A 27,902-nucleotide genomic window follows, 5' to 3' on the forward strand; every position below is an offset into this window, starting at 1 on the left:
AGTAGCTGGGACTACAGGCATAAGCCACTGCACCTGGCTTATTTTTTGTTTATGCAGAGATGGGGGTCTTACTGTGTTGTCCAGGCTGGTCTCAAACTCCTGGACTCAAGAGGTCCTCCAGTCTTGACTTTCCAAAGTGCTGGCATTATAGGCATGAGCCATGGTGGCAAGCCCTCATCAGTTATTTTTCTATGATTCTGTCTCTCTGTCCCCTCCTTACAAGGAAAGTAATTTTGAAACAACCAATCCAGTCTTGGTTCTTTGTTTCTGCTTTCTTCAGCCCTTCTCTGTCTATAAAACCAACCTCTTCTGCTCAGCTCATGGGAGCACTTATTCTAATTTAATGGAGATGTTGCCCAATTTCTAGAATCACAAATAAGATCTTTAACAATAAAAGTTAAAAAATGAAAATCAACAACAACAACAACAAAAAAGATCTTTAAATGTGTTGTAATTTTCTCCTTTGACAGGTTACAAGTGCAATTGAATAAACCAAACAAAAAATGTCATGGTTATTCGGTCTTTACTTCCCAAATCAGGGTCAAGATATAAGATAGCAAGAACCAATCTCTACCATAAAAAAGATCCAGACCCAAGAAAATGTGATTTATCTTTAAAGCTGCAACGAAACTTTCTTTTTAGTCTAGGAGACTAAAAGCCATCAGTTGATACAATCTCTTTTTTTCTTGAAGTTTCCAAAGGAAGGCAGGTGAGTTTGCACTGACTTCCATTTTCTCCCTGGCTTCCTTCCGGTGTCAGATGAGAGTCCCCGCGCTCCTCCCGGACAGCCCTCAGGGTCCTCGGCTATCATATATGGGGGAGGGGGTGGAGGTGGGCGAGATGGTTTTGTTTGTACAGGAAGGACGGGCGGCAGGCACGGGGAGCACGGGCTCCGGCCCCGGGAACACTCACTCGGCGCAAAGGAGAGGGAGAGAGCGACTATGAAAGCCGAAACCCGCCCGGGGCGCACGGAGGACGGCCCCAGTCCAGCTCGTCCGGCTTCCCACCCGCAGGCGGACCCCGAAGCCGCGCCCGCGCCCGCCCGCGGCGACTCCGGCCCGGGCACGCGCACGAGTCGGAAGGGGGAGGGGCGGGAGGAGGTGGGGGAGGGGCGAGCGGGCCGAGGCCCCGCCCCCGCTCCTCTGCCCCGCCCGCCGCGATTATAGCCGATGACTCAGGGCGGAGCTCCGCATCCAACCCCGGGCCGCGGCCAACTTCTCTGGACTGGACCAGAAGTTTCTAGCCGGCCAGTTGCTACCTCCCTTTATCTCCTCCTTCCCCTCTGGCAGCGAGGAGGCTATTTCCAGACACTTCCACCCCTCTCTGGCCACGTCACCCCCGCCTTTAATTCATAAAGGTGCCCGGCGCCGGCTTCCCGGACACGTCGGCGGCGGAGAGGGGCCCACGGCGGCGGCCCGGCCAGAGACTCGGCGCCCGGAGCCAGCGCCCCGCACCCGCGCCCCAGCGGGCAGACCCCAACCCAGCATGAGCGCCGCCACCCACTCGCCCATGATGCAGGTGGCGTCCGGCAACGGTGACCGCGACCCTTTGCCCCCCGGATGGGAGATCAAGATCGACCCGCAGACCGGCTGGCCCTTCTTCGTGGACCACAACAGCCGCACCACTACGTGGAACGACCCGCGCGTGCCCTCTGAGGGCCCCAAGGTGAGCCGGGCCCGCGGCCCGCCCTGGTCGGTGGCGCCACCTCGACGGCAGGCGGCGGGGAGTGGGCTGGGCCGGGGGGACGCGAGGCGGCGGGGCCCGGGGGTCGGCGAAGGCCCCTCGCGGGCGGACACCGGCTCCGCGCCCCGCCACACACTCCCGCTGCGCCCGGACGAGTCCCCGCTCCGGACCCGCCCTTGACAGGCGTCGGGGCGAAAGGAGGCCCCGGGATTCGGTGGCCCGGGAAGCGACCCCGCAGTGGCTCCGGTGCCGTCCACGGCTCGACTCCAGGGCGGAAGGCCGGGTGTCCAGCGCTGGCCTCGCGCTCTAGGGCTGGGAGAGGGGCGGCCGGCCTGGTCAGCTCCGGAGGCCCCGGCCCACCGTGGCCCCTGCTGCCCGCTCGGCCTCCGGGCCCGGGACCCGCGGCGCACCCTGCTGACCGCGGACTCGAGGGGGACACTCGCAAGCTTGGATGGTGGTTTTGGGGGGAATTTTACCGCTCAAGTTCTCCAACTTGGTTGAGGGGTATCTTGGCTACTGTCCCATGTTAGGCACCCAATGACTCTGGAGGCTGGTGTCAAAACATTCATATATATATGTGTGTGTGTGTATTTTAAATTAAAATTGTATTATTGTTTGAAAGTGCTTTCAATATGAACGTATCCTAGTATGATTTGTAAAATAAAAAACAGGGTGTGCTTCTCCCCAGCAGTTTCTAGAGATCTAGACTAGAGATCTGAGACTGTCTTACAGTTGGCCATTGCCTTACCACATTGCCTCACACTGGAGAGAAAGAGAATGATACGTGTATATTTATAATGGCATTCGCTTCCTGCCTTGTTATGGTATTAAAATACTTAGGATTTGTTACCAGTACACAAATAACTGACTAATGATACTCTTGTGAATACAGCAGAAGTATGTCTCATTTACATACATGCAAGGATATATACTTCTTAATCCCCAAGAGCATGAAATTTGAAAATGTAAATTTGGAATGAGTGTGTTAATTTTCAAAAATCAGAGTTAGTTATACTATTCTTTCAATTTTTTATAAATTTGAGCTTTCAGGATAAAAAGTTTTTAAAATAAATATGTTATACTTAAAGCTGAATTGTTAACGCCGTCTGGGCAAGATAAAAGCAGCAAAGAGCTGGTAAATTATTTTGAAGATTTAAAAACTCACCAAATTAAAACTGCTGTGTAACCCATTGTTTTAGAAGAAAGACCTGTATTATTTCCCTTCATCTTTATGCACTTTTTGTTTTAACAATATTGATAAAACTCCGGTGCCCAGCAGTGAGACCGTGTACAGGCAGCAGTTTACATTTACGAGAGATTAGTTGTATATTTATTCTTGAAAATTAGTACAAGAGGCTGTAATTAGCTGGGATGGGCACAGTTACATATACCTTTTTGTGTGTCTGTTCCACCCATTTTTGGGTGAAACTGACACTCATTTCAAACCACCTTTCTTAGGAGTCTGCGTGGATGTACATGATCTTTAGTGTGGTTTACAACTATTATTTTGAAGCCTTCTTCCTGTAGACATAGGGATAGTGGTATCTGTTGGCAGCCTTTGTTGTGAGTGAAGATCAAGTTTGAACATAAACATTCCCAGCACTTTGTTCTCAGCATGAAACTTACCCAGCAAGTTGAGATCTTCCTGTACCCACCTGGTGCATGGGTTAGGCTGTGATTTCATAAACCTTATTAAAAGAAAAAAAGCAGGTTTAGTTACCATTATTCTTGTCAGCAAATACAAAGAACTACTAAATCAGAAGTCTGATGCTGGGAAGATTTATTTGAAAATTTCACGGTCAAAATTTTAAAGTTGAAATGTCCTTGAAGATCTCTTATGTTAGGCTTCTTTATTTTCTGAAACCCAGAGAGTTCAGGTGTGACTTTGAAGGTCATCCAGCTAGTACCAACAACAGGGAGAGAACTAGTGTCAGGAAAGTCCTAATAAGAGGCAGTGTGTCTCTTCAGAAGTTGGAAGTGAGTGTTTTGGGAAACTGAGGCATGCAGGCTAGAATACTTGATTATTTTTGTGCCCTCCTGGCCACCAAGTTATTGGGTCACTGACCTCTGTGCTGAGGTTGCTTGGATTTTGATGATGGGACTGATGAACTCAAGAAAAGAGTTCCCTTTACCAAGTGAATGACTTGAGACTTGTCAGCATGGCACCAAAACTTAAGGAGAAAACTAACATTCAGCCCATGAGCTGTTTGTGCTTCATTGCTTTCAATCCTGTGCTTTGACACACACAATATCAGGTTGCACTTGTGTGAGTTACACCTTACTGGAGACTAAATGTAGTGGAAAATCCTTGAATATCATTTTGTATTTGAAATTGGCTTCTCAATGCATAATGAGAAAAAGGCCCTTGCAGAAAACAAAGGGCGATTTTGGAGGAGCTGAGCTGAGGCCCGTCTGAGCATCATCATCTTCAAGAGGAAATGCTGTCAATCAGTAAAAAGCTGTTCATTGAGCATGAGGAGCTCAAGAGACGACCTCTCTTTTGGGGGAGGACTCAGCTTCAGGATGTTTAAAATTTAATCACGTTAGTAAGAAAATGGAAAGAAAAGACTAGACCTTTGTATTTTATTTCGTCTTCTACTGCCGTCTTGCAGTTGATCTTCCGCCTTCTCCTGAAGTAGTTAGGACAACTCCCTGTTTTCACAGAGGGGCAGAGCGAAAGCAAGTATCTTCTGTCATTGCTGAAGCAGGACGGCTCCCGGCAAAGATGCTGGGCTTCATCCAGCCCCATTCTAAGCAGCTGGGCCTCCCCACCTGCAGTCTTCCTGGATTTTGATTTTCTGCACACTTGGGCTTCCCACTAATTTGGCAAGTTCATACCAGTCCAGGCCCTTTCCTGGCAGAGGATGGCATTCAGTGCTGGTGCAGCCACTCCTCCAGGCTCCTCCCTGAATAAACAGAGGCCGGATGTTCTGGAGTGCTGTTCCCGCCAGGCCTCCTTGGGATGAGAGGGAGACCTTCCTCCCTCATGGAGCAGGGCCGCTCTAGCTCCATGGATCTTGGGGGTTACCAGTCTGGCACTCTCCAGGGAGTCCTGTTAAGAACACAGATTGTGGCTGTGTCTCATCGCCTCCCTGCCCCAACCCCATGTTCAAATCTGAATTGCTCAGTGTAGGGCCCAGAAAACTATTAAGTCCAGAAAGCTTTTTTGGTGGTTCTGATTCTGCTGCACTGGCAGTGGGAGCCACGGATGGCCAGTGATCCCATTTTGGGGAGGAGGAGCTGCGGCTTAGTGCCTCCTGAACATCTATCCTGCAGAGCATTTTCCCAAGCCTCCATTTTCCTTCTTGGGGAAACTCCCCAGGTACGCGGGCTTCTGGAGGTGTGAATATGGGGATGACATGGGAAGCGAGCCGAGACAGCACCTTGCAAAGTCTGGCAGGGTGGCTGGCAGTGCGAGAGTGGGGAGGTGGTCCAGAGATCTTCCTGGACCCCAGGAAGAAGCAAGCCAGAGCCTTTTCTTTTTGTCTTGCCCATCTGGCAGAATCTCACCATAATCATTTAACAGATTATACTCAGGCACTGTGACAGGGAGATAGAAACATCCTTTCAGATAACACTGGAAATGTTTCGAGTTATGATTGAAGTAGAGAGACCCATTTATTTTGCTTAAGGTTCAGCAGAGCCTCCTGAATTTTCTTAAAGATGAGATCGTTTTGCTCTTTCCAGATCTATTGCAAGCTGTTATGCCTCTTAGCAGAGGCGGAGCACAATCAGGAAATGAGTGGCCGTTCTCTCCTTCGTATTTCCAGCAAGTTGCAGTTGTGGCTGAGCAAGTTCCTGTGCGACTGCATGAAAGTGATTTGTTGGGGGGCAGATGAACAGCATGGCCAGATGCCTTGGAGCCCAGCTCATCCAGGACTTTCATTTTCCCCTCTGAAGAACAGCCTGTGTTGTTCACATGAGAACCGACTGCACCTCCGAGAACATCATTTGTCCCGTTTTGTAGGGTAGATTTGCCCTTTATGAGGGTGGAGCCTGTACACAGGACCTGCGGCAGCGTTTGACGTTGGCCAGGGCTGGGAAGGCTTAACTGTTGGATGCTATCAGGGCTGCTTGTGAGTCAGAAAGCTTCATACCACCCATGAGGCTTGCTTAGTGCTGTCCTCGTTTCTGGAATGACACACAGTCACCTTATATAAACCACTCTACATGTTTATTACTTTCTATTGACATTTAAAAATGATGTTCTGATGTTTATCATCCAAAGTAGAAAACCATTCATCATCCAGACCTACTCTTTCTCCTTTAAGTTTTGCTGTTTTAATATTGCTCTTAAATGTTTAAGAGAGCTTACAGAAGAAACTGAAGACAAAGGCCTTGCTTATTAGGATCTTTGAGACCCTCTGGCACTGGCGAACACGAGTGAACCCTGTGTCACACTTGACCGTGTTATTCTCCAGCCCCTCCTGGGTTCCCTTTTGTTGTGAGTCAAGTAGACACCTCTGATCTGCTTCTGCCTCAGAGCATAGACTCAGCTGGCCTTCTTTTTTTTTTTTTTTTTTTTGAGACGGAGTCGCACTTTGTCTCCCAGGCTGGGGTGCCGTAGTGCGATCTTGGCTCACTGCAACCTCCGTCTCCTGGGTTCAAGCGATTCTCCTGCCTCAGCCTCCCAAGTAGCTAGGATTATAGGTGAGCGCCACCATGCCCATCAGCCGGCCGTCTGAGGCAGGCTCCAGAGCCCCTTGTTTTGCAGGTGCAGGATTCATCTGTATGCATCATGTGGCACATGTGATACCATGTGAGGTATCTGGTGTTACTAAGTCGTCACGTATTTCGATGAAGGTATCTTTGGGACCTTGGCAGCCTTTTAGGAAGCCAGGCAGCTTGCAAAAGCTTAGGAAGAATTTGGGGGGAGAGGAATGAATGTAGTATTTTTCTGTCTGTCAACACACACACATATATATATATATGTGCCAGATATGAGTGGGTGCTTTTGGTAACCTTATCTCTAAATCCTCACCAGCTCTTTGAACTAGAAACTATGAAGTGTCTTACACATGGGACAGCAGATTTGGAGAGGCAGTGTGCCTGGCCTGTGATAAACAGAAAGACTTCTGTGGCTTTACCCCCATCTGAGTTCCTGAAGGGGTGACAGACAGACTTGCCTTTAGCGGGCCTGGCTGCTTTATACTCCCCAGGCACGGCTGCTTTATACTCCCCAGGCACAGCTTGAGGTGATAAACAGCCCTGAGTCCATCTTTGTATAGTTAATCAGAAATGTTGGCCTGTTTCTTGAACCTGGGTCTGGATTTAGGAGATGGGCCCGACTCTTTACTCACTCCTTTACCCCATCTGAAATTCACTGAGTGCCCACAGTGTGCGAGTCACAGTGTTAAATGCCATATAGAGGACAAGTCTGCCCACTTTGAGACTGTTCTCCACAAAGCATGTCCTGCCTCTCCCTGGTCCGAAGCAGGCTGTCTCTCTTCTGGAACCCATATTATTTTAATTTGAATCTTTTTGCTTAAGCTCTGCACTTTTCTGCTTTGTCTTGGGGTCACACCCCTGTTAGGAGTTCTGGGGCAGAGTCTGTGTGCTTCATCGCTGCCTCTTGATGCCTGGCAGGGTCCACAGGCTCAGAAAAGATGGAACGAGTGACTGTGGAGAAGGGTAGAACATGGGCCTGCCCAGAGCGCGAAGGCAGATACAGAAGAGCTGCCCGTGAAGGATGCAGGTGTGTCCCGGGAAGCCTTCCATTGGTTCCTAAGAACTGCAGAGTTGTCCTGGGCTCCTAAAGGTCCCCAGAGGCCTGCTCCTTTTTGTCACTTTGTGAATGGCCTTCTCTGCACAAAGGACTTCAGTATTGATTCCCTAAGTTCATCCTTACAGGTCTGGAGAAGCTCTTTTTTGTTTCTCCCAATGACACAGCATCTTACAGCAGGGCTGGAGAGGCTGGGAGCTGGCAGCAGCCAGACCCTACTTCCATAGCTGTGCAGAGAGCAGCCCCTGGCACTGTGAAAAGAGTCTCTTAAAAATTTTTTTTCGTGTGGCTGGCAGCAAGATCAGACACCGTATACGTGAAGGTTCTTATTCACTGTCAATTCAGAAAAGCCTAGAATCGCAGAGTGCCAGCTCTGTGCGTCAGGAGCCTGTAAACAGCTCAGCTGTCCAAGAGCTCCCAGCACAGAGCTGTGCCCCAGTGAACTGGGGAGACTTTTTACGGAAAATTCCTTAGCATTCAATTGGAGAACAAACGTTTGCTGTTTTAAAGTATCTTCCTCAGTGTTTATTAAAGTAGAATTATATATTTTTTTCAGTTATTTAAAAAATTCTTCCTTGACATTGAATGAATGAATAAATGAATGGATGGTTTAAAAATTCATACAGTGGGAGGATGGGAAGGCCCCTTCATGTGCAGAAGAAAAGCCAGCCCCTTCGCTGGCCCACCCTTTCAGGGTCAGTTCAGACCCCCAGCATCCCAGCGGGGTTAGCACTCCTTCCTGGGTTGGACGGTGTCTTCCCCGGTTCTGACAGCGCTCCATGCCGGGCGTCCCTGCAGTCTTGGGGCTGTGGTGACTCAGAATTAAGCTGAGTGCTCTCACTCTCGTGTACCCTGCCTGGCTGGCCTGATGACTCAGCATGGAGCGCTGGCTCCCTGACCCAGAGCACACTTGAACTGAATGTTCCAGGTCTGAGCCTCAGCCGAGCGTGGCTGGGCGAAATGGAAGCCTTTCTCTCCTGCTGCCTCTCCTGCTGCATTTTACCCCGGGAGATGAAGGTTTTGGAGACGTTAGTGACACATGGATGTTATCACAGTGTACAGCTGTGACAGGAGTAGCAGAAAGGTTAGCATCTACCTGGCCTTACCATCAGACAAACCTGGGTTCTAGAGATCTTAGGCAAAGCACTTACCCTTCTTGAGCCTCAGTCTCCCGTTGTGTGAAGTGGGCATAGCAACACTTCTGTTAGCAGGGTTGGGAGAATCAAGGAAGATGGTGTGTGGGAGGCGAACGTCCCAAAGCCTGAACTGATGCATGCGTGGAACTCCCGGAAACATATGCAGCCTGCTCTGTGGAGTAGAAGTGTGTTTGTGGATAGGTGTGTGGCCTCTCCACACAGCAGACTGTCCTGGCTGTCCGTGGGCCTTTCAGCTCTCAGAGAGGCCTGGGGTCTTGTTTCTTAGAAGCAAGGCCTCCTCTTATCCCCCTTGTATGGAGTGTAGCTGACTCCCCCGACCAGTGTCCAGGTGGCCCTTGGAGCCCTCCCTGGGGCTTCCCGTGCCCCTTGTGAGTGGAGGATGTAAAGGAACAGTAACAGATGAAGCTGCGGGGCCTTCGGGAGCCTTGACCCAGCTGCCAGACCCTGCGCCATGCGTCCATAGATGCATCTCCCCATCCTCTGCCCAAGATAGGCTGGGTCCTTGTGTCCTCCACTGTGCTGTGTAGAGCGCTGGCTTTACTCAGCCTCAGCTCCTCAAGGGGAGGGTCTCCCTCAGCTGTGTCTGTGCAGCCGCAAAGTACCAGGCAGGAGCTAGGAGCGCTGCCTGTGAGGGGGGACATCAGCCCACCTTACTGAGGGGCCGATTACCTGCACAGCTCTTCTGGACCCAGCTCTCAGGGGTGTAAATGTCACCGCAGATGGAAGGAAGGAGGGGTTTTCCAAGTGCCACCACCCTCTTCTGGGGGGTGTGGCTGCTGTGGACCGAATGCTTGAGAAGCCACTGCAGGTGGGAGCAGAGCCCCCCCGGGACTCAGGGGTCTCACCGTCCATCAGAGAGGGTCCCCTTGCCTGCATGGCAGCTGATGAACTGAGGATGTTTTTCTTTTGGAAATTGTATTTTGTACAGAATACACGTCCGCTGATGTCCTGTACACTGAGACCTAACAGGCACTTGTAGGGTCGTGTCTGGAGGATGGACTTGCCAGGTGGCTGACCATTCCATTTAGCATGGAAATGTAGCAGTTGAGAGAGGTCCTTTTCCTTGACTCTGTCTAAATTCAGAGTTTGCTTCCTGGGATGGAAATTTCAGATAGTTTCCATCTGTGATTTGTGACTTTGGCTTGATTAAAGCAGGTGGCTCCGCTCTTTTTTTTTTCCCCTGAAGAAGAGGTAGGTAGGTTCTAACATGCCCTGAAGCTAACTTCATGTGACCTTGGGCCACATTCCAGTTCCTACCTCTGCCACATGGAACCCGTGAGGCAGGCTGCAGGGCTGGGGCTGCAGGGAGGCTGGATGCTGACTCAGGTGCCCCCAGCAGGGGAAATACCAGCAGCTGCGGATGGTGCCTGGCCTGGAGACGGCTGACGTGTGCCCTGGTGAGGGGCCATCGAGGATGTTGAGGAGACGCCAGCAGATGTTCTGCTCCCAGGCGGACCCTTCTGTGCCCCAGCCTGGCCTGGCTTTTCTCTCTAGGCCTCAGGGAGATGTGTCAAGGAACCACAGTCAGTGCGGCTGGGCGCCCTGCTCAGCCAGGAGTTTGTCTGCAGAGCAGGCCTCTTCCCCAGAGCAGCGGCCCAGCCTGTTGGAGAGGTGGGTCGTTTAGGGCTCAGGTCCCTAGAGTTGTCTTTGGCTCTTTGCTTCCAGGCTGTGAAACTTTAGATAAAGTCTTAAGCAGAGAAAGTGACATCCTTGCTAATTAGTCCTCTTAAGACTCTCAGATAAAGGGGCTTCTAATTCTAACTGTCTTACTACCAACTTGGTGAGACAGACTAAAGAATTAGGCTTTGTTGAACAGGGCGCGGTGGCTCACACCTGTAATCCCAGCACTTTGGGAGGCCGAGGCAGATGGATCACTTGAGCCCGGGAGTTCGAGAGCAGCCTGGGCCCCATAGTGAGACCTTGTCTCTAAAATAAATAAATAAATAAATATTTTTTTAAAAAAAGAATTAGGCTTTGTAAACGGTAAGCCCAACCAGCTAGTGCTGGAGAAAAGCTGAGTCCATCAATAACTATTTGTGGAATAAAGAAATGCAATTGTGGCTGGGCGTGGTGGCTCACGGCTGTCATCCCAGCACTTTGGGAGGCTGAGGCAGGAAGATCACTTGAGATCAGAAGTTCGAGACCATCCTGGCCAACATGGTGAAACCCCATCTTTACTAAAAATACAAAATTAGCTGGGTGTGGTGGCACATGCCTGTAATCCCAGCTACTCAGGAGGCTGAGGCAGGAGAATCGCTTGAACCCGGGAGGCAGAGGTTGTGGTGAGCCGAGATCATGCCTTTGGACTCCAGTCTGGGCAATAAGAGTGAATCTTCGTCTCAAAAACAAAAACAAAAATTAGCTGGGCGTGGTGGCAGGTGCCTGTAATCCCAGCTACTCGGGAGGCTGAGGCATGAGAATTGCTTGAACTCGGGAGGCGGAGGTTGCAGTGAGCTGAGATTGTGCCATTGCACTCTAGCCTGGGCAACAGAGCGAGACTCAGTCTCCAAAAAAAAGAAAGAAAGAAAGAAAAAGAAACCCAATTGTTTAGGGCACAGAGCAGCTCAGAGTTTACAAAGACTTGTACCTTATTTCGTACCTTATTTCACTTAACTCTTGCAAAAACCCCTGGGAAATATGGGGATCTTTACAGCTGCGGAAACAGTAGCAAGGAGTCCTGTCCATGGTCACACAGCTGGTGAGCATCAAGGAGGGACTGGAACCCAGGGTGGCACCTTGAAGACCCGGGCTCATGCTGGTTCATTCCTGTTTATTTGGACACAGCTGCAAAGAGAAGCAATGTTGGTTTCATCTTCTAAAAAAATTTTTTTTCCCATTGAAAACACATAGGGACAGTCATCTGTTTATTCCAGGATAAAATGTATATATATTTTAGTAACAGGCATATTAGATAAAGCCTCCAGTAGCCTGTGACTTATGATAGTTTATAGAGTATGTGGTTGGCACACACCTCTTGTCTTACCAGGAGTCTTTGGACAAAGCCTAACTCCTCAGGTGTCCTGTAAGTGGAATGTGGACTTAGTTTATTATTCAGAATTTTCCCCAACTCTATTATGTGCCCAAAATAGTGCTGGGGGAGTGGGAGAGACCCTGTATTACAATCCAGTGGGGACTGAAGGGATTTTGACTTTGGCTGTAGGGATGTTAATGGCTGTTTATTGTGTATTTCAGTATCAAATGGGCAGTAATACTTAATTCATTCATGCACCCCATCATAGCAAGCAGAGAGCTTCGGTAGGGTGCTGAAGCTCGACTCCAGTTGCACTTTGTTTTTTGTTTTGGTTGTTGTTTTAATTCAGAGCCTCACTCTCTTGCCCAGGCTGGAGTGCAATGGCATGATCTCAGCTCACTGCAACCTCTGCCTCCTGGGTTCAAGCGATTCTCCTGCCTCAGCCTCCTGAGTACCTGGGATTGCAGGCCCCCGCCACCATGCCTGGCTATGTTTTTTTTTTGTTTTTTTTTTTTTTGTATTTTTAGTAGAGACAGGGTTTCACCATGTTGGCCAAGCTGGTCTTGAACTCCTGACCTCAAGTGATCCGCCCGCCTCGGCCTCCCAAAGTCTTGGGATTACAGGTGTAAGCCACCACGCCCAGTTCCAGTTGCACTTTGGAAGAAAGTGTGTTTTGTTTGTTTCCTGCCTGATGGAGGCGAGCCAGGCCACTTAATTTTGATCCAGGCCTTAGCCATATGGGGAGTTCCAGGATTTCTGTGTTCTTGCATCTTTTTTCTTTGTTTTAGAAGTTTTGAAGTGTTCACTTGACCCATGTGAAGGCTCTTCTGGCCTAAAAACCCAGTTAATACAGTCTGTGTCCTACTTAATACCCCAGGCCTGCCAAGTCGGAAGTGCTACGAGACAGCCCTAAGAGTTGCCTTTGTTACTGTTTCTCCTAGTTCAGACCAGAGTGATGGAAGCTGTGGTTTGTAGATGTGGAGCCCACTTTTTAAAGAGCACTGTACCTGGCCAGGCGTGGTGGCTCACGCCTGTAATCTCAGCACTTTGGGAGGCCGAGATGGGCAGATCACGAGGTCAGGAGATCGAGACCATCCTGGCCAATATAGTGAAACCCCGTCTCTACTAAAAACACACACAAATTAGCTGGGCATGGTGGCGGGCACCTGTAGTCCCAGCTACTCAGGAGGCTAAGGCAGGAGAGTGGCGTGAACGCGGGAGGCGGAGGTTGCAATGAGCCGAGATCGCGCCACTGCACTCCAGCCTAGGCGACAGAGCGAGACTCTGTCTCAAAAATAAAAATAAAATAAAGAGCACTGTACCATGGAGCCAAGATTGGGGCTCACAGAAGGTGCCCATTTTCGGGTTTCAGTGACCACTCAGTGTGCAGGGAGTCAGTTGTGGGTGGGTCAAGGTAGATTCTTCTCCACGGCTCTTTCATGAACATGTGCCTGGCGTACGCCTCTCTAGGCAGACACCTTGCAGGTGCCCAAGGGTTGTGGTTCCCACCCTGCTTTTAGGGCACAGGGTTGGGGGTTAGAGGCTTCCTTCTCTTCATTTGTTTTTGGTTTTGTTTTTTTGTTGTTGTTTTTTTAAGACAGAGTCTCACTCTGTCGCCCAGGCTGGAGTGCAGTGCTGCAATCTTGGCTCACTGCAACCTCTCACCCCTGGGTTCAAGCGATTCTCGTGCATCATCAACTTCCTAAGCAGCTGGGATTATGATGCCCACCGCCACGGCCAGCTAATTTTTGTATTTTTAGAAGAGACAGGGTTTTGTCATTTTGGACAGGCTGGTCTCAAACTCCTGGGAATGGATCTGACCTCAGATGATCCACCCGCCTCGGCCTCCCAAAGTGCTGGGATTACAGACATGAACCACCGGACCCGGGCCCTCCTCTTCATCTGGGACATGAAACTTTGGGGTGCTCTGAGTTCTGGCAGTTCTGATATGATTTGAGTGTAGTTAGGAGTAGTCGTTTTTAGATTTCTGTGACATTAACTTTTCCTTGTTTGGGGGCTTGTATAGCTGTTGAGAGCTTGAAGGGACTTTGGAAATCAGGCCACGCAGAGTGTCAGAGCTGAAAGGAACTTTCCATCATCGTTTTTCTCACTGCGGACCTTTAGGCTTCCTCACACACCTACGGAATCAGACCTACTTGGGTTGGGCTTAAGAGTCTGCAATGTTTGCATTTCCTGGGTGCTTCGATACCCCAAGTGCTGGAGAACCACTGCTTTCTAGAACATTTTTGGGCCTCCCCTTCATTTTGCAGCTGAGAAAACGAAAGTTCACAGAGGGCATGTGAGCCACTTCCGTAACACATGTATTTAGGGGCAGAGCCAGCGTTAGGACCAAGTGCAGCCTCTTCCGAGCTCTCCTGCTGTTCCCTCAGCGCCCATGTTGCTGCTAAAAACCACTAGTGCAGTTTAGACCTGCTCTTAAGCAAACGAGCCCAACAGCTCACCAAAGCTCAGAACCTGACCTCAGGCTTTCTCTAATCATAATATCTTGTACATAATAGGGCAAATTTTGACTCATCTGGGGTCATTTTTTTCCTGCTTTCTATCTTGGCCATCTCATGGAGTTGTTTGGTGCCCTGAGACATGCCTCAGATTTTTCAGATTTTTAATGCAATGCACAAACAAGGGGGCAGAATTAGCCAATTCATTTTATAAATTAATATAGTGAGATAAGCAGTGAGAGTCAGGACTGAGCCCCTGGGCTCTTCTTTCCTAATTGGATTTTGTATAATATGTGTTCCTGATGTCTTTAGCCGAGATAAGGATAATGAGCTCTGAGCTGCAGGCGGGCCCTGATGAGGTGGCCATGAGGATCAGCAGTCATCTGCTTGGTCACCGTGGTTGCATCCCAGTCCCTGTCCCATGATCACACAGAGCTGTCCCCCCAACTTTGAGGAGGCAGATTCCGAGCTCCCGCTTGAATCAGGAAGGGGCACATAGTAAGCCTTATCTGAGAGATGCTGGTGTAACCAAGAGGCATTATCTGGATGTGCTTGAACTTGAAAACACTTAGTAGACTGAAGAGACATGTTTTAGTCAGATTCTAGAATTATAAATATTACACATTTTTTCTTTTGATTCTTTTATTTACAAAATATCTCTCTTTGCTAGATTGTGTTGAAAACACCATAGAAGAGAGAAAGGGCAATTTAACTCTTCCAGGTGGTGTTTTTTGTGTGTGTGTGAGAGTTTTTTTGGCAGAGTTTCACTCTTGTAGCCCAGGCTAGAGTGCAATGGTGTGATCTTAGCTCACTGCAACCTCCGCCTCCAGCTTCAAGCGATTCTCCTGCCTCAGCCTCCCGAGTAGCTGGGATTACAGGCACCCGCCACCACACACAGCTAATTTTTGTTTGTGTGTGTGTGTGTGTGTGTGTGTGTGTGTGTGTATATATATATATATATATTTTTTTTTTTAGTTGGAGTCTTGCTCTGTCGCCCAGGCTGGAGTGCAGTGGTGCGATCTCGGCTCACTGCAAGCTCCACCTCCCGGGTTCACGCCATTCTCCTGCCTCAGCCTCCCGAGTAGCTGGGACTACAGGTGCCTGCCACCATGCCCAGCTAATTTTTTTTTTGTATTTTTAGTAGAGATGGGGTTTCACCGTGTTAGCCAGGATGGTCTCCATCTCCTGACCTCGTGATCCACCCACCTCAGCCTGCCAAAGTGCTGGGATTACAGGCGTGAGCCACCGCGCCCAGCCTAATTTTTGTATTTTTTTTAGTGAAGATGGGGTTTCATCACGTTGGCCAGGCTGGTCTTGAACTCCTGACCTCAGGTGATCCACCCGCCTCGGCCTCCCAAAGTGCTGAGATGACAGGTGTGAGCCACCACGCCTGGCCCAGGTGGTGTTTTTTACTTAGTAAAAGCGGAAGCATTTGCTGTTGTGACCCTAATGATAGTGGATGGGAACATTAGAATGTGGCATCAGCATTCCTGGCATAGACCTCATTACGGGTGGGAGTTTCATTTTTCATTGGAATTATTCATTCATGTAGAAGTGTTTAATTGCCTATTTTGTGAAATTCATGTTTTTTTTATTTAAAGCAATTTTTTGTTGTTGTTGTTTTTTTTTAAACAAAACCCCACCAGAGTAGAAGGGGAGCCTGGAACGTCTTTTAGATGCAGTGCTCACAAGGAGACACTTGGTTTTTTATTAAATGGCAAAAATGGGTCATTAATTCACCCAAGCCCAGGAATACAGACCTCGGGACTGTTGGAGAAGCAGCCAGGCCGCCCTTGCCTGTCCTGACCGTCTCTGCTTTCCAGCTGTGCCGGCAGGCTTGGCCTGTTCAGTGGACCTCACGCACGGTGGAGACCTTTCCCCTTCCCCCCACATGCCTCTCATTTTTCTGGGTGCCCTTTACCCTCCAGGCCCTCTGCCCTGCTTTGTGCTCATCTCCTCCTCCCTGACGTCCTTCTTCACTTCCCAGCATGTCCTGGCTTCTCCTTTCCAGTCCCTCTGTCTTGCTGAGGCATCTCCTGTGATGGTTGGAACACTCAGAAGGGTGGACCTCAGCCCCCACTTCCAGCCTGGCCCCTGGTCTCTAGCCTCATCTCCCTCAGCTCAGCACTGACCCCCAAGCCTGCCCCTTGCCACTGCTTCCCACCACTCTTCTGACACCACTGCCCCTGCCTGCAGTGACCACATTCCTTCCCCGTGGACCAAGCCATGTCTCTGGAAAGGTTGAATATTGGCTCCAGCAAGCAGTCTCTGCTGTCACAGTCTTGTGTGCAGACAGAGTTGTTTTTCCTTCCTCCCTCTCTCTCCTGTCTTATTCCCCTTCTCTTTTTCAATGGAGGCACAAAATGTGCTCAGCGAGATGCACGAGGTGCTCAGCGAGATGCACGAGGTGCTCAGCGAGATGCATGAGGTGCTCAGCTCGTGGCTGGCTCAAGGGCTTTCTGGATCCAGGGGCTTCCCCCAGGAGGAGCTGCATCTCCTCAAGGCCTGTCTGAGGACTCCAAGCCCTGGAAGGGTCTGGCTATAAGGGGTTGGGATCAGCAGCTCTCCCAGTTAAAACCAGAGAGTGTGGGTGGGATGTGGCAGAGTGGGCAGTGTGGGGGTTTGATGGAGTTTTACACAGCCATACACCCATTTACCACTGCCCAGAAAAAGAGAATATTCCCATCACCTCAGAAAGCTCTTTCGAGACCCTTCCCAGCCACTACCATCTCCTCCAGAAGTGACCACCATTCTGGTTTCTAGCACCATCGATTCACTTTGTACTTCACTTTTTCTTTTTTTTCTTCTTTTTGAGACAAAGTCTTGCTCTATTGCCCAGGCTGGAGTACAGTGGCATGATCTCAGCTCACTGCCACCTCTGCCTCCGGGGTTCAGGTGATTCTCCTGCCTCAGCCTCCTGAATAGCAGGGACTACAGGTGCCCCCCACCATGCCCAGCTAATCTTTGTATTTTTAGTAGAGATGGGGTTTCACCATGTTGGTTAGGCTGGTCTTGAACTCCTGACCTCAGGTGATCTGCCCGCCTTAGCCTCCCAAAGTGCTGGTATTACAGGCTTGAGCCACCGTGCCTGGCCCTATCCTTCACTTTTGATTCCTTTGACACTTTGGAGTCTGAAAAGCATAATTTTGTGCGTATTTAGGGAGAAACTCACATTTATTGCCAGTCTTCCGGGCATCCCTCTTGATATGCCCTTATAAAACCTCACAACATTTCTCCAGGGCAGGTGTTGGCTAGCTCCGTTTTCTAGAAAAGGAAGCGAAGGCTTACAGAGGTAAGAGAATTACCCAAGCTCACAGAACTGTTAGAAATAGAGGTACGAATCACACTTAGACCCTACCTAGGGCAGCGTCTACCCTGGAAGAGCCTGTGCCTTTCCCCATCCCTCAGGGCCTCCGTGCTTTCCAAGTAATTCTGCTTCTTGTTTGTTTCCTGCCCCCTTAGCCCATCTTCTAAGCCCCTGTTGGCAGGGAGTGCCCCTTGCTGGTTTGGTAACCCCATAGGACTCCTCAGCGGGTGGCAGGATGTTCCCCCAGGTGGTGGATGAGGGTTTGCTCACTGCTGGTCCCTGCTGTGTGGAGTGTGCAGATGGTTGAGGCTTTTGTGCGTGGCTGGGAAGAAACAATGAGCCCCTGGGCAGCCAGCAAAAATGACACTGCAGGACTAATGCAGGCTCCGATTTCGGCTGGAAGGAGGAGGACCTCAGTGAGTGGACAGAATGCCCACAGGCACGTTATGACTCAACACTGAGTAGCAGAGGGTTTCTTCAGCGCCTCTTGCTGGCTCCCTGTCAGGGCCATCTCACGGCAGGAATTCAGCTCTGAATGTGAGGCCTGGACCTGCTCCTGCTCTTGGGTGACCTGAGAGTTAAGCAGGCTAATGTAATGCCGCCGCCCTGAGCACGTGGCTGTTCTAATCTGAGAATGCCTGTCTGCCCATGTCCCCAAGGACACAGTGACACCCATGCCTTTCCTGTGTGCTGGAGGCCCTCCAAGGGCAGGGTCTCAGCAGGAGGGAGGCAGTTGATGGGCCTGAAAGGGCTAAACCAGGGTCAGCCACCTGGTGCCCACGCCTGCACACAAATAGAAACATCACAGAATTAATGGTCTGTTCTCTCAAAGTGCAGAGCAGCCCTCAGTATCTGTCCTTACTTTTGATTGATTCCGCAGCAGTAGAGATTGTCCCCTGCAAGCTCATAGATTGTTAGCCTTTGGCGTTTGTTCGCCGTGCAGACAGCTGCCTTCGTCAGGAAAGATCACTCCCCTTCTTAAGAGTTGCCTTACACAGATATATGCAAATGACACTTATCAGTAGCTCCCCTCCTGGGAAAGGACCCTCGGTGCTCGGGGACTGTTAGGACTTCTGTTGCGCAGCCCAGCTTGCTGAGAGATGGCATTGCCCAGTGAGTGACTGGCCAGCCTTGTTGTCTGAAATAAGATCTTTCCTGTGGTACATCTGGAACTTGGCCTTCTCAAGGGTCCCAAAATAGCCAGGCCACTGAAGGGAGAACTTCAAGAGAGGACATAAGAGAAGGACCCCAACTGCTCCTTGCCCAAGCAGGCTCTGTTGCGTTGAAGAAAAAGTTCTTCAGTGATACTTGTTAAAGCACAGTCAGGAAGATTTATTCGGGGCCATCAAGATAGGCACAGGGACCACGGCAGTGGGGTCGTGCAGTCATGGGTAGAGACTGGGCACAACTTCAAATACAACACGGGCGATTGGGAATTTATAGTCAAGGAGCAGTGTGGATGGAAAATTAGAAGAGGAAACATCAGGGCTAAGGGTGTTTCTGGCTATGCTGACCAAACAGGATTCTTGCCGAAGACAGGCCAGGGTGATTAGACAGCACCTGGAGGCTGTGGAAGCTGATCAGATAGTGAGGCTGGGGAGGGGGTTTCTGGCTAAACTGACTTAGCAGTGTCTTTTGCTAAAACTTGACTTTACAAGGAAGTGCACAGATGGGCCTAGGAGATGCTTCGGAAGCCTAAGATTTGGTCAAGCAGAGAATCTTTGTCAGTTGGCATCGTTAGGCGACACAGTTAACCCTGGGTGCCCCTCTCTCCCTATGCTGCCTCTGCATCCCTGTCCTTCCCCTTCCTGCAAATTGTTCTAACAATACTCCTGAGGAGGCAGCCCTCGCTCCCCAGCCCACTTCTCTGTAAAGATTCCCAAACTGTGTCCTGTGTTTGGGCCCAGTACAAGCTCTATATTGCTGGGAAATGTGAGGGCCTTTTTGGAAACAGAGACGCTTGCTGTAATGTAGAGGTTGGAGCTGACCCCTGCTCCTGGAGCTCATCTTCTGATCCGGGTCTCTGAAAATGCGGGCATGGGCAGCTCTCCTACACTCACCGCTTCCCTCAGTCACCCAGAAAAGAAACCTGTCTTACCAGTTTGGAGAATTGGGACCTTTCCTTTGCTTAACAGATACTTTTGGCTTTCTCCTGATGCCCCTAATTCCTAAACTGTTGGCCAAATAGCAACCTCTATGGGGTGGGGGGTTTGGAGGGTACAGGGGCTGGGAGCTGGCTGACGCTTTGAGGCCCAAGTCACTCGGGAAGATCACAATGCCAAGCGCCACAGTGTTTCCTCTGCCAGGAGGGTTCACTTCCCAGTTTCTAACCAGCCTGTGTTTCTCCACTTTTTATTTCAGGAGACTCCATCCTCTGCCAATGGCCCTTCCCGGGAGGGCTCTAGGCTGCCGCCTGCTAGGGAAGGCCACCCTGTGTACCCCCAGCTCCGACCAGGCTACATTCCCATTCCTGTGCTCCATGAAGGCGCTGAGAACCGGCAGGTGCACCCTTTCCATGTCTATCCCCAGCCTGGGATGCAGCGATTCCGAACTGAGGCGGCAGCAGCGGCTCCTCAGAGGTCCCAGTCACCTCTGCGGGGCATGCCAGAAACCACTCAGCCAGATAAACAGTGTGGACAGGTGGCAGCGGCGGCGGCAGCCCAGCCCCCAGCCTCCCACGGACCTGAGGTAAGGAGAGGCCAGGCTCACCAGCCTGCTGGGGAGCAAGCCGCTGTGCTTCCCAGGCCGGGCCCATCCCCTCAGGACAGTGCCCTGGGCCAGGCACCTGTTCACATGCAGGGCATCTGGGTCTAGCCTGCAGCATCAGAGGTCACCCAGCAAAGACAGGGTGATGGCCCCACATCATCCCCCAGCATCTCATAGGGCTGTTCTTCAGTGGGGCAGGGCAGGAATCATGTGGCTTCTTTTTGTAGCTAAGGAACGGCTCGGAAGGGCACACTGCAGCCTGCCTGCTCCAGATGCACACAGGTGGAGGGAGCAGAGCTGGGACCGGAAGCCTGGCCTGCCTTCTGGCGCCTAATTTCCATGCTCCTTATTCACACTGGGCTTTCTATTCAGAAGCACAGAGATAGCTGTGCATTATTTTGTTCAGTTCAATGCTTATGGATAAATCTTAACCGCTTGTGGAGCTATGTTGACAGGAAAATGAGACCCCATGCCTGCCCTCACCGTGCACCACAGTTTCAAAAGAAATAAGGAGTCAGGAAGGCAGCTGCTTTAAGACAGCATTTTAATCCTGAAGCCAAACATCTCAGGGATATGTCAATGGATTCTGTGCATTAATAGCTAAAAAATAGTTCTTAATCTGGTTCTTAGCTGAGATTTGAGGCATTCCTAGTAGGATTCCTAAGCAGTAAGTCCTCTCATTTTCCTGTCTGCACATCATCCTGTGGTGTGTGCCAGCGTTGTTCCTGGGCACAAACTCCCGTGTCCTATCTGCACCCTGAGTCATGCTTGCCTCTCAGCTCCGTCTGAATCTGTTCAGCTTCACACCTGCTTGAGAGTGAAAGTTACAGTTAATGTGGGATACCTTTTTTCTTTTCTTAGAGAGGTAGTACCTGGCTGAGGCAGGTGGATCACTTGAGGCCAGGAATTCAAGACCAGCCTGGCTAACACGGTGAAACCCCGTCTCTACAAAAAATACAAAAATTAGCCGGGCATGGTGGCACATTCCTGTAATCCCAGCTACTCAGGAGGCTGAGGCAGGAGAATTGCTTAAACCCAGGAGGCAGAGGTTGCAGTGAGCCGAGATCGCACCACTGCACTCCAGCCTAGGTGATAGAGCGAGACTGTCTCAAAAATAAAAAAATAAGTAATGCCTATATTTATAATGGTTTTGCTGCAAGAAATCAAAGTGACACATAAATGCGAGACATCTTCACAAATTTAGGCTAACAAAGCACTTAGAAGAGGAAATGCTCTCAATTTCGAGGTGAATAGAAGGTGGCCCAGCAGGGAAAGGTGCTTGACCTGCCTTGGGCCACACGGGATGCTGGCAGCTCCCAGTTGCTCAGCCGAGTTCTCTGTAGATTGGCAGAGAAAGGGTAGTGGGGACAACACATCCCTTGTATGAGCGCTTCCTGTGTGCTGGCCTGGGGCTGAGGCACATGCCCAGGTGACTGACCTCATCTTCAGAGCAGCCCAGTGAGGGAGGGGCACTCTTCCTATATTTCAAATGAAGCTTAGAAAATGATTGAATTACTAGGAATTTGAACATAGGCCCCTTGATTCCAAAGCCTTCAGTCTTTGTTGTGTGTGTGTGTGTTTTGTTTTGTTTTGTTTTGTTTTGCTTTGTTTGAGGTGGAGTCTCTCTCTGTTGCCCAGACTGGAGTGCAGTGGTGTGATCTCAAATCACTGCAACCTCTGCCTCCTAGGTTCAAGCAATTCCCCTGCCTCAGCCTCCTGAGTAGCTGGCACTACAGGCATGCGCCGCCACACCCAGCTAATTTTTGTATTTTTGGTAGAGATGGGGTTTCACCATGTTGGCCAGGCTGCTCTTGAACTCCTGACCTCAGGTGGTCCACTCACCTAGGCCTCCCAAAGTGCTGGGATTACAGGTGTGAGCCACCGCGCCCAGCCCCAGAGCTCTCAGTCTTAACCGCACATTTTGAAAATTGAAAATTACAGATAGGAGGTCTTACAATATGGATTGCCCTGAGGAGGTGCACAGCAGAAGGCGTGGTCAGGATGCCAAGCCAGGGGAGTCATTTGTGGGGTCATGCCCTCTACCCTGTGTCTCTTGCAGCGGTCCCAGTCTCCAGCTGCCTCTGACTGCTCATCCTCATCCTCCTCGGCCAGCCTGCCTTCCTCCGGCAGGAGCAGCCTGGGCAGTCACCAGCTCCCGCGGGGGTACATCTCCATTCCGGTGATACACGAGCAGAACGTTACCCGGCCAGCAGCCCAGCCCTCCTTCCACCAAGCCCAGAAGACGCACTACCCAGCGCAGCAGGGGGAGTACCAGACCCACCAGCCTGTGTACCACAAGATCCAGGGGGATGACTGGGAGCCCCGGCCCCTGCGGGCGGCATCCCCGTTCAGGTCATCTGTCCAGGGTGCATCGAGCCGGGAGGGCTCACCAGCCAGGAGCAGCACGCCACTCCACTCCCCCTCGCCCATCCGTGTGCACACCGTGGTCGACAGGCCTCAGGTACGGGAAGTTAGTCGTCAGCAGACTGGTTATGGTGGTATGTCTCCAGGGGTGCAGGAGCTCTGTGGGTGCCCTGGGTTCCCCCTTCATCCCTGCCTATTTAACATGCGTGTACCTACAGGCAAGTGAGATTCGAGAAATTGCTAGGTATTAACAGAAATGCAGGACAGTTGCTCAGGCTGTGAACCCTCCGCACTCTGCAGCTTTTGCTGGGCTGATCATTGTGCATTGCGGCTGACTTAGAGCAGACGAAACAGCTTGGCAGAACTTACATACCTGGGACCAGCTTCCTTAGTGTCCACCACACCCTTTCAGGGCTCTTCACACCCCCATCCACACCGCAGCCACAGCCTCACCTTGGGTGTAGGCAGTGTGTCACCTTCCACTCAGTTACCCACTCCACTCTGCAGGCCCATTCTGCTCATTCCCACCCCTGTGCCTTTGCCCATGCTGAACCCGCTCCCTGAAATGCCCGCACAGTATAGGTTCTCCCTGTCCTCTGAGGGACGAGCCAGTCTTGTCTCCTCCATGAAGCCTACTCATCCTTCTCATCTCATGATGCCTCATATGAGTCCCTTAATGAGAACTCCCAACTTGTATGAGTTCAACATGTCATTATTCGGGGCATTTCAGAAGTGTTCATTTTATCTCTTCAGCTTAGGGCTGAGCCTGACCACAGGGCCCATGTCTTAACCCCCCTCCTCCCTTTGTAATCAGGTACCATGTGGTCTGGCTGAGGCATCAGCCAGCTATGGCGGATTGGAAGCCGTGCTGGCCTGGGGAAGGTTGTAGGCAGGGGTCTGGTTATCTTCCAGTGGAGACACAAGGTGCAGGTTCCTGGAAGAGGATGTCATTTAGTTTAAGCAGCTCACAGCTTAGCAGCAGGACAGTCAGCAGCCCTGGGCCCCCTGTGGCTGCAACTTGAGCAGCTGAATGCTACAGTTTTTAAAAAGGAAAGCCCCCCGTGAACAAATGTGGGATATTCTTTCATTACAAATGGTCACACTGGCCAGGGCCCTGGAATAGAGCACCCTCATCTTAAAATGTTGTTTTATTTGGAAATAATTTCAATCTCATAGAAGAGTTGTGTGAATCATACAGAGCCCCACATATACTTCATCCAGTTCACTGTTTGTCAATATGTCTGCATTCGCCTTGTCATTTCTTCTCTCGTATATTATTGATGTGTTTTAACTGTTTGAAAATTAATTGCAGACATCATGTCCCTTTTCCCCTGAATAGCAAATATTTTCCTAAGAGGAAGACATTCTCGTTCATAACCATGGTAGACTTACCAGATTCAGGAAATTTCACATTCTTACAACATTATTATCCAGTACATTTTTGAATCTTTTTTATAGCAGTTTGCCCCCACTTCCAGGATGTCTTCCAGGACTGAAACAAGGATCATGAGCACCGCATTTAGATGCAACTTCTCTTCAGTCTTCCCTCAGCCTTTCTTTGCTTTCACGGCCTTGACGGTTTTGAAGAACACAGGCTGTGGAACACCCTCTCTAAAGTGTTTCTAAAGTCACTTCTTACACAGCCATTGCTGTTAGAACCTAGGAGGGGTGCGTGGTTGGGTTGTGAGTGGTAAGGGCCAAAGTTGCGAATGTCTGCATTGGCGAAAGAGATTTGATGGAAAAGGAGGTTGCTGGAGTGTAGACAGCTACATCGATCCATACTTGGGTTCAGCAATCCTAGGAGGGTCCCATTTGTAGAGAGAGGGATATTTTCTCCACATCATTCCCATGTGTTTCTCATCATCAGTGAAATGATATTTCATCCTGTTCTTACCATTAACCGTGTTTGTGGTGACCTCCCTTTTAGAGCTGATTCAAAGTTCCCTTTTGGGAGGCTTTCCAGGATTTCACCAAACTGAACGTTATAGTGGAATTGAGTGTTTTAAGCTGGGAATAGTTTAGAAATAATATAGTCCAGTTATTTCCCAGTTGATGAAATTAGGGTGAGATTTTAAAAGAAGTGTTAGATATTCACTTACATGAATAAGAGCCAAGATAAGGCCAAGCGCAGTGGCTCACGCCTGTAATCCTGTAATCCTAGCACTTTGGGAGGCCGAGGCGGGGGTATCACTTAAGGTCAGGAGTTCAAGACTAGCCTGGCCAACATGGTGAAACCCCATCTCTACTAAAAATACAAAAAAAAAAGTTAACCAGGCATGTTGGTGGGCGCCTGTAATCCCAGCTACTCGGGAGGCTGGGGTGGGAGGATTGCTTGAACTTGGGAGGCAGAGGTTGCAGTGAACTGAGATCACACCACTGCACACTCCAGCCTGGGTGACAGAGCGAGGCTCCGTCTCAAAAACAAAAACAAAAACAAAAAGCGTCAAGATATTTTTGCTTTGAGCATAGCTCATTAAAAAATATATGGCTTACTAGGCGTGGTGGCTCACACCTATAATCCTAGCACTTTGGGAGGCCGAGGTGGGCAGATTGCTTGAGCTTAGAAATTCAAGACCAGCCTGGGCAGCATGGTGAAACCCTGTCTCTACAAAAAAATAGAAAAATTAGCCAGGCATGATGGTATGTGCCTGTAGTTGCAACTAATCATGAAGCTAAGGTGAGAGGATCACTTGAGGCCAGAAGGTTGAGGCTGCATTGAGCTGTGATAGCCCCGCTGCACTCCAGCCTGGGCAACAGAGTGAGACCCTGTCCCCCACAAAAATCTATATATCTATATGGCTGTAGTTTATAGTCACAGGAAAACCTGTGCAGCCAGAGGTTAGCACAGAGGCGCTGTGTCATTGCTGAATGTTAGGCTACAGCACAGCTATCCTGAAGCAAAATTGTTCTGGAGTTAACCATTTAGAGCATCTTGGCTAATCCTAAAAAAATACATTGGTCTGGGCAGAAACTACTAGGCTGTCACGGTTTTAAAAAAAGAAGATCGTATCTTTTCTAAAACAGGAGACAAGAAGATCACACCGTGAGCAGACTGTCTGCACAGTGTAAGGAAGAAGGACCAGAGGCAGCGACTCCAAGGCTGCAACACCTGAGAGCTGGAGTCACTCAGGACTCTGCTCTGAGTCAGCCTAGTTCAGCAGTCAGCATGAGTTTTTGCTATTTTTTTCCTTCTTTCCTTCCTTCCTTCCCTCCTTCCCTCCCCCTCCCTTCCCCCCTTCCCCTTCCCCCCTTCCCTGCTTCCTTCCCCCTTCCCCCTTCCCTCCTTCCTTCCTGCCCCCTTCCCCCTTGCCCCCTTCTCCCCTTCCTTCCTTCCTTCCTTCCCCCCTTCCTTCCTTCCTTCCTCCCTCCCTCCCTTCCTTCTTTGAGACAGGATCTCGCTCTGTCACTCAGGCTGGAGTGCAATGACATAATCGTGGCTCACTACAGCCTTGAATTCCTGGGCTCAAGCGATTCTTCCGCCTCAGCCTTCTGAGTAGCTGGGACTACGAGTGCAAGCTCCCACACCTGGCTAATTTTTAAAGATTTTTTGTAGGGTTGGGGTCTTACTATATTGCCCAGGTTAGCTATTTTCATTTTTGAAAATTTTATTGGGTTTCTTTTCATTGCCATTAAGAATACCATCTACAGAGAAATTCAGTGAGAGGTAATAGACAAATAGCCTGGGGTGATCAATGGAAGCCTGACTAATGATTGGGTTACATACATGATTAATACCATGTTTTTATTTTGTAACAGCCATTGATTGACTTTGAAAATCTTTTATACTATTAAACTTTTTTTAAAAAGCCATTTCTCAGTTTTCTTTCTAATCTGTACTAGCTACAAACAATTTCTGTGACTTTCAGTCAGTTATTAAAAATATATTTTTGTGTCCTTTTTTCAGCAGCCCATGACCCATCGAGAAACTGCACCTGTTTCCCAGCCTGAAAACAAACCAGAAAGTAAGCCAGGCCCAGTTGGACCAGAACTCCCTCCTGGACACATCCCAATTCAAGTGATCCGCAAAGAGGTGGATTCTAAACCTGTTTCCCAGAAGCCCCCACCTCCCTCTGAGAAGGTAGAGGTGAAAGTTCCCCCTGCTCCAGTTCCTTGTCCTCCTCCCAGCCCTGGCCCTTCTGCTGTCCCCTCTTCCCCCAAGAGTGTGGCTACAGAAGAGAGGGCAGCCCCCAGCACTGCCCCTGCAGAAGCTACACCTCCAAAACCAGGAGAAGCCGAGGCTCCCCCAAAACATCCAGGAGTGCTGAAAGTGGAAGCCATCCTGGAGAAGGTACAGGGGCTGGAGCAGGCTGTAGACAACTTTGAAGGCAAGAAGACTGACAAAAAGTACCTGATGATCGAAGAGTATTTGACCAAAGAGCTGCTGGCCCTGGATTCAGTGGACCCCGAGGGACGAGCCGATGTGCGTCAGGCCAGGAGAGACGGTGTCAGGAAGGTTCAGACCATCTTGGAAAAACTTGAACAGAAAGCCATTGATGTCCCAGGTCAAGTCCAGGTCTATGAACTCCAGCCCAGCAACCTTGAAGCAGATCAGCCACTGCAGGCAATCATGGAGATGGGTGCCGTGGCAGCAGACAAGGGCAAGAAAAATGCTGGAAATGCAGAAGATCCCCACACAGAAACCCAGCAGCCAGAAGCCACAGCAGCAGCGACTTCAAACCCCAGCAGCATGACAGACACCCCTGGTAACCCAGCAGCACCGTAGCCTCTGCCCTGTAAAAATCAGACTCGGAACCGATGTGTGCTTTAGGGAATTTTAAGTTGCATGCATTTCAGAGACTTTAAGTCAGTTGGTTTTTATTAGCTGCTTGGTATGCAGTAACTTGGGTGGAGGCAAAACACTAATAAAAGGGCTAAAAAGGAAAATGATGCTTTTCTTCTATATTCTTACTCTGTACAAATAAAGAAGTTGCTTGTTGTTTGAGAAGTTTAACCCCGTTGCTTGTTGTTCTGCAGCCCTGTCTACTTGGGCACCCCCACCACCTGTTAGCTGTGGTTGTGCACTGTCTTTTGTAGCTCTGGACTGGAGGGGTAGATGGGGAGTCAATTACCCATCACATAAATATGAAACATTTATCAGAAATGTTGCCATTTTAATGAGATGATTTTCTTCATCTCATAATTAAAATACCTGACTTTAGAGAGAGTAAAATGTGCCAGGAGCCATAGGAATATCTGTATGTTGGATGACTTTAATGCTACATTTTAAAAAAAGAAAATAAAGTAATAATATAACTCAAAATGGTTTTTGTGGTTTCTAAATCTTTGAAAGCAGTGGCATCATGGAGATTGTCTGTCCCTGGTTTCAGTCAGAATAAATGACAGGTGCATTTAACAAGCCTGCTTTGGGTTTTGTGACGTCTCCAATAGCCCGGCTCAAGAGAGAATTGTCTTGGTCACCTTTCAGTCTCAGATTGCAACAGGAACCTGGGAAGACTCAGGGCTGTGAACTCCGGTAATGGGAACATGCCTGCTGCATCCGTTCGGACCGACCCAGCCAACAGCCAAGGTGCCA

General features: G+C 49.8%; 1 protein-coding gene across 2 annotated transcripts, besides 5 other annotated features; it reads left to right on the forward strand.

The window, feature by feature from the left end:
• Positions 328–1,282: an enhancer, noted in NCBI's record as "H3K27ac hESC enhancer chr10:121410030-121410984 (GRCh37/hg19 assembly coordinates)". NCBI's record gives its function as "activates a minimal SCP1, AML or CMV promoter by ChIP-STARR-seq in naive H9 embryonic stem cells {active_cell/tissue: H9 hESC(naive)}" and the evidence as "EXISTENCE:reporter gene assay evidence [ECO:0000049][PMID:30033119]".
• Positions 663–742: an enhancer, noted in NCBI's record as "active region_4128". NCBI's record gives its function as "activates an Ori minimal core promoter by ATAC-STARR-seq in GM12878 lymphoblastoid cells {active_cell/tissue: GM12878}" and the evidence as "EXISTENCE:reporter gene assay evidence [ECO:0000049][PMID:35858748]".
• Positions 943–1,242: a silencer, noted in NCBI's record as "silent region_2880". NCBI's record gives its function as "represses an Ori minimal core promoter by ATAC-STARR-seq in GM12878 lymphoblastoid cells {active_cell/tissue: GM12878}" and the evidence as "EXISTENCE:reporter gene assay evidence [ECO:0000049][PMID:35858748]".
• BAG3 (BAG cochaperone 3) lies at positions 1,190–27,629 on the forward strand. Of its 2 annotated transcripts, none has more exons than NM_004281.4 (4): positions 1,190–1,665; positions 19,661–19,987; positions 22,065–22,466; positions 26,274–27,629. In NM_004281.4, exons 1-4 carry the CDS (start codon positions 1,486–1,488, stop codon positions 27,090–27,092), a joined length of 1,728 nt encoding a protein of 575 aa, NP_004272.2. In that variant the 5' UTR covers positions 1,190–1,485; the 3' UTR covers positions 27,093–27,629. The 2 variants fall into 2 exon arrangements, with proteins under 2 accessions (NP_004272.2, XP_005270344.1); XM_005270287.2 differs by having other exon boundaries at positions 26,277–27,629.
• Positions 15,539–16,092: an enhancer, noted in NCBI's record as "H3K27ac-H3K4me1 hESC enhancer chr10:121425241-121425794 (GRCh37/hg19 assembly coordinates)". NCBI's record gives its function as "activates a minimal SCP1, AML or CMV promoter by ChIP-STARR-seq in naive H9 embryonic stem cells {active_cell/tissue: H9 hESC(naive)}" and the evidence as "EXISTENCE:reporter gene assay evidence [ECO:0000049][PMID:30033119]".
• Positions 18,171–18,352: a silencer, noted in NCBI's record as "fragment chr10:121427873-121428054 (GRCh37/hg19 assembly coordinates)". NCBI's record gives its function as "represses an EF-1alpha promoter that drives an FKBP-Casp9 reporter gene in an ReSE screen in K562 erythroleukemia cells {active_cell/tissue: K562}" and the evidence as "EXISTENCE:reporter gene assay evidence [ECO:0000049][PMID:32094911]".

The sequence above is a fragment of the Homo sapiens genome, chromosome 10 (genome assembly GCF_000001405.40).
Source record: "Homo sapiens chromosome 10, GRCh38.p14 Primary Assembly".
Taxonomy (NCBI): Eukaryota; Metazoa; Chordata; class Mammalia; order Primates; family Hominidae; genus Homo; species Homo sapiens.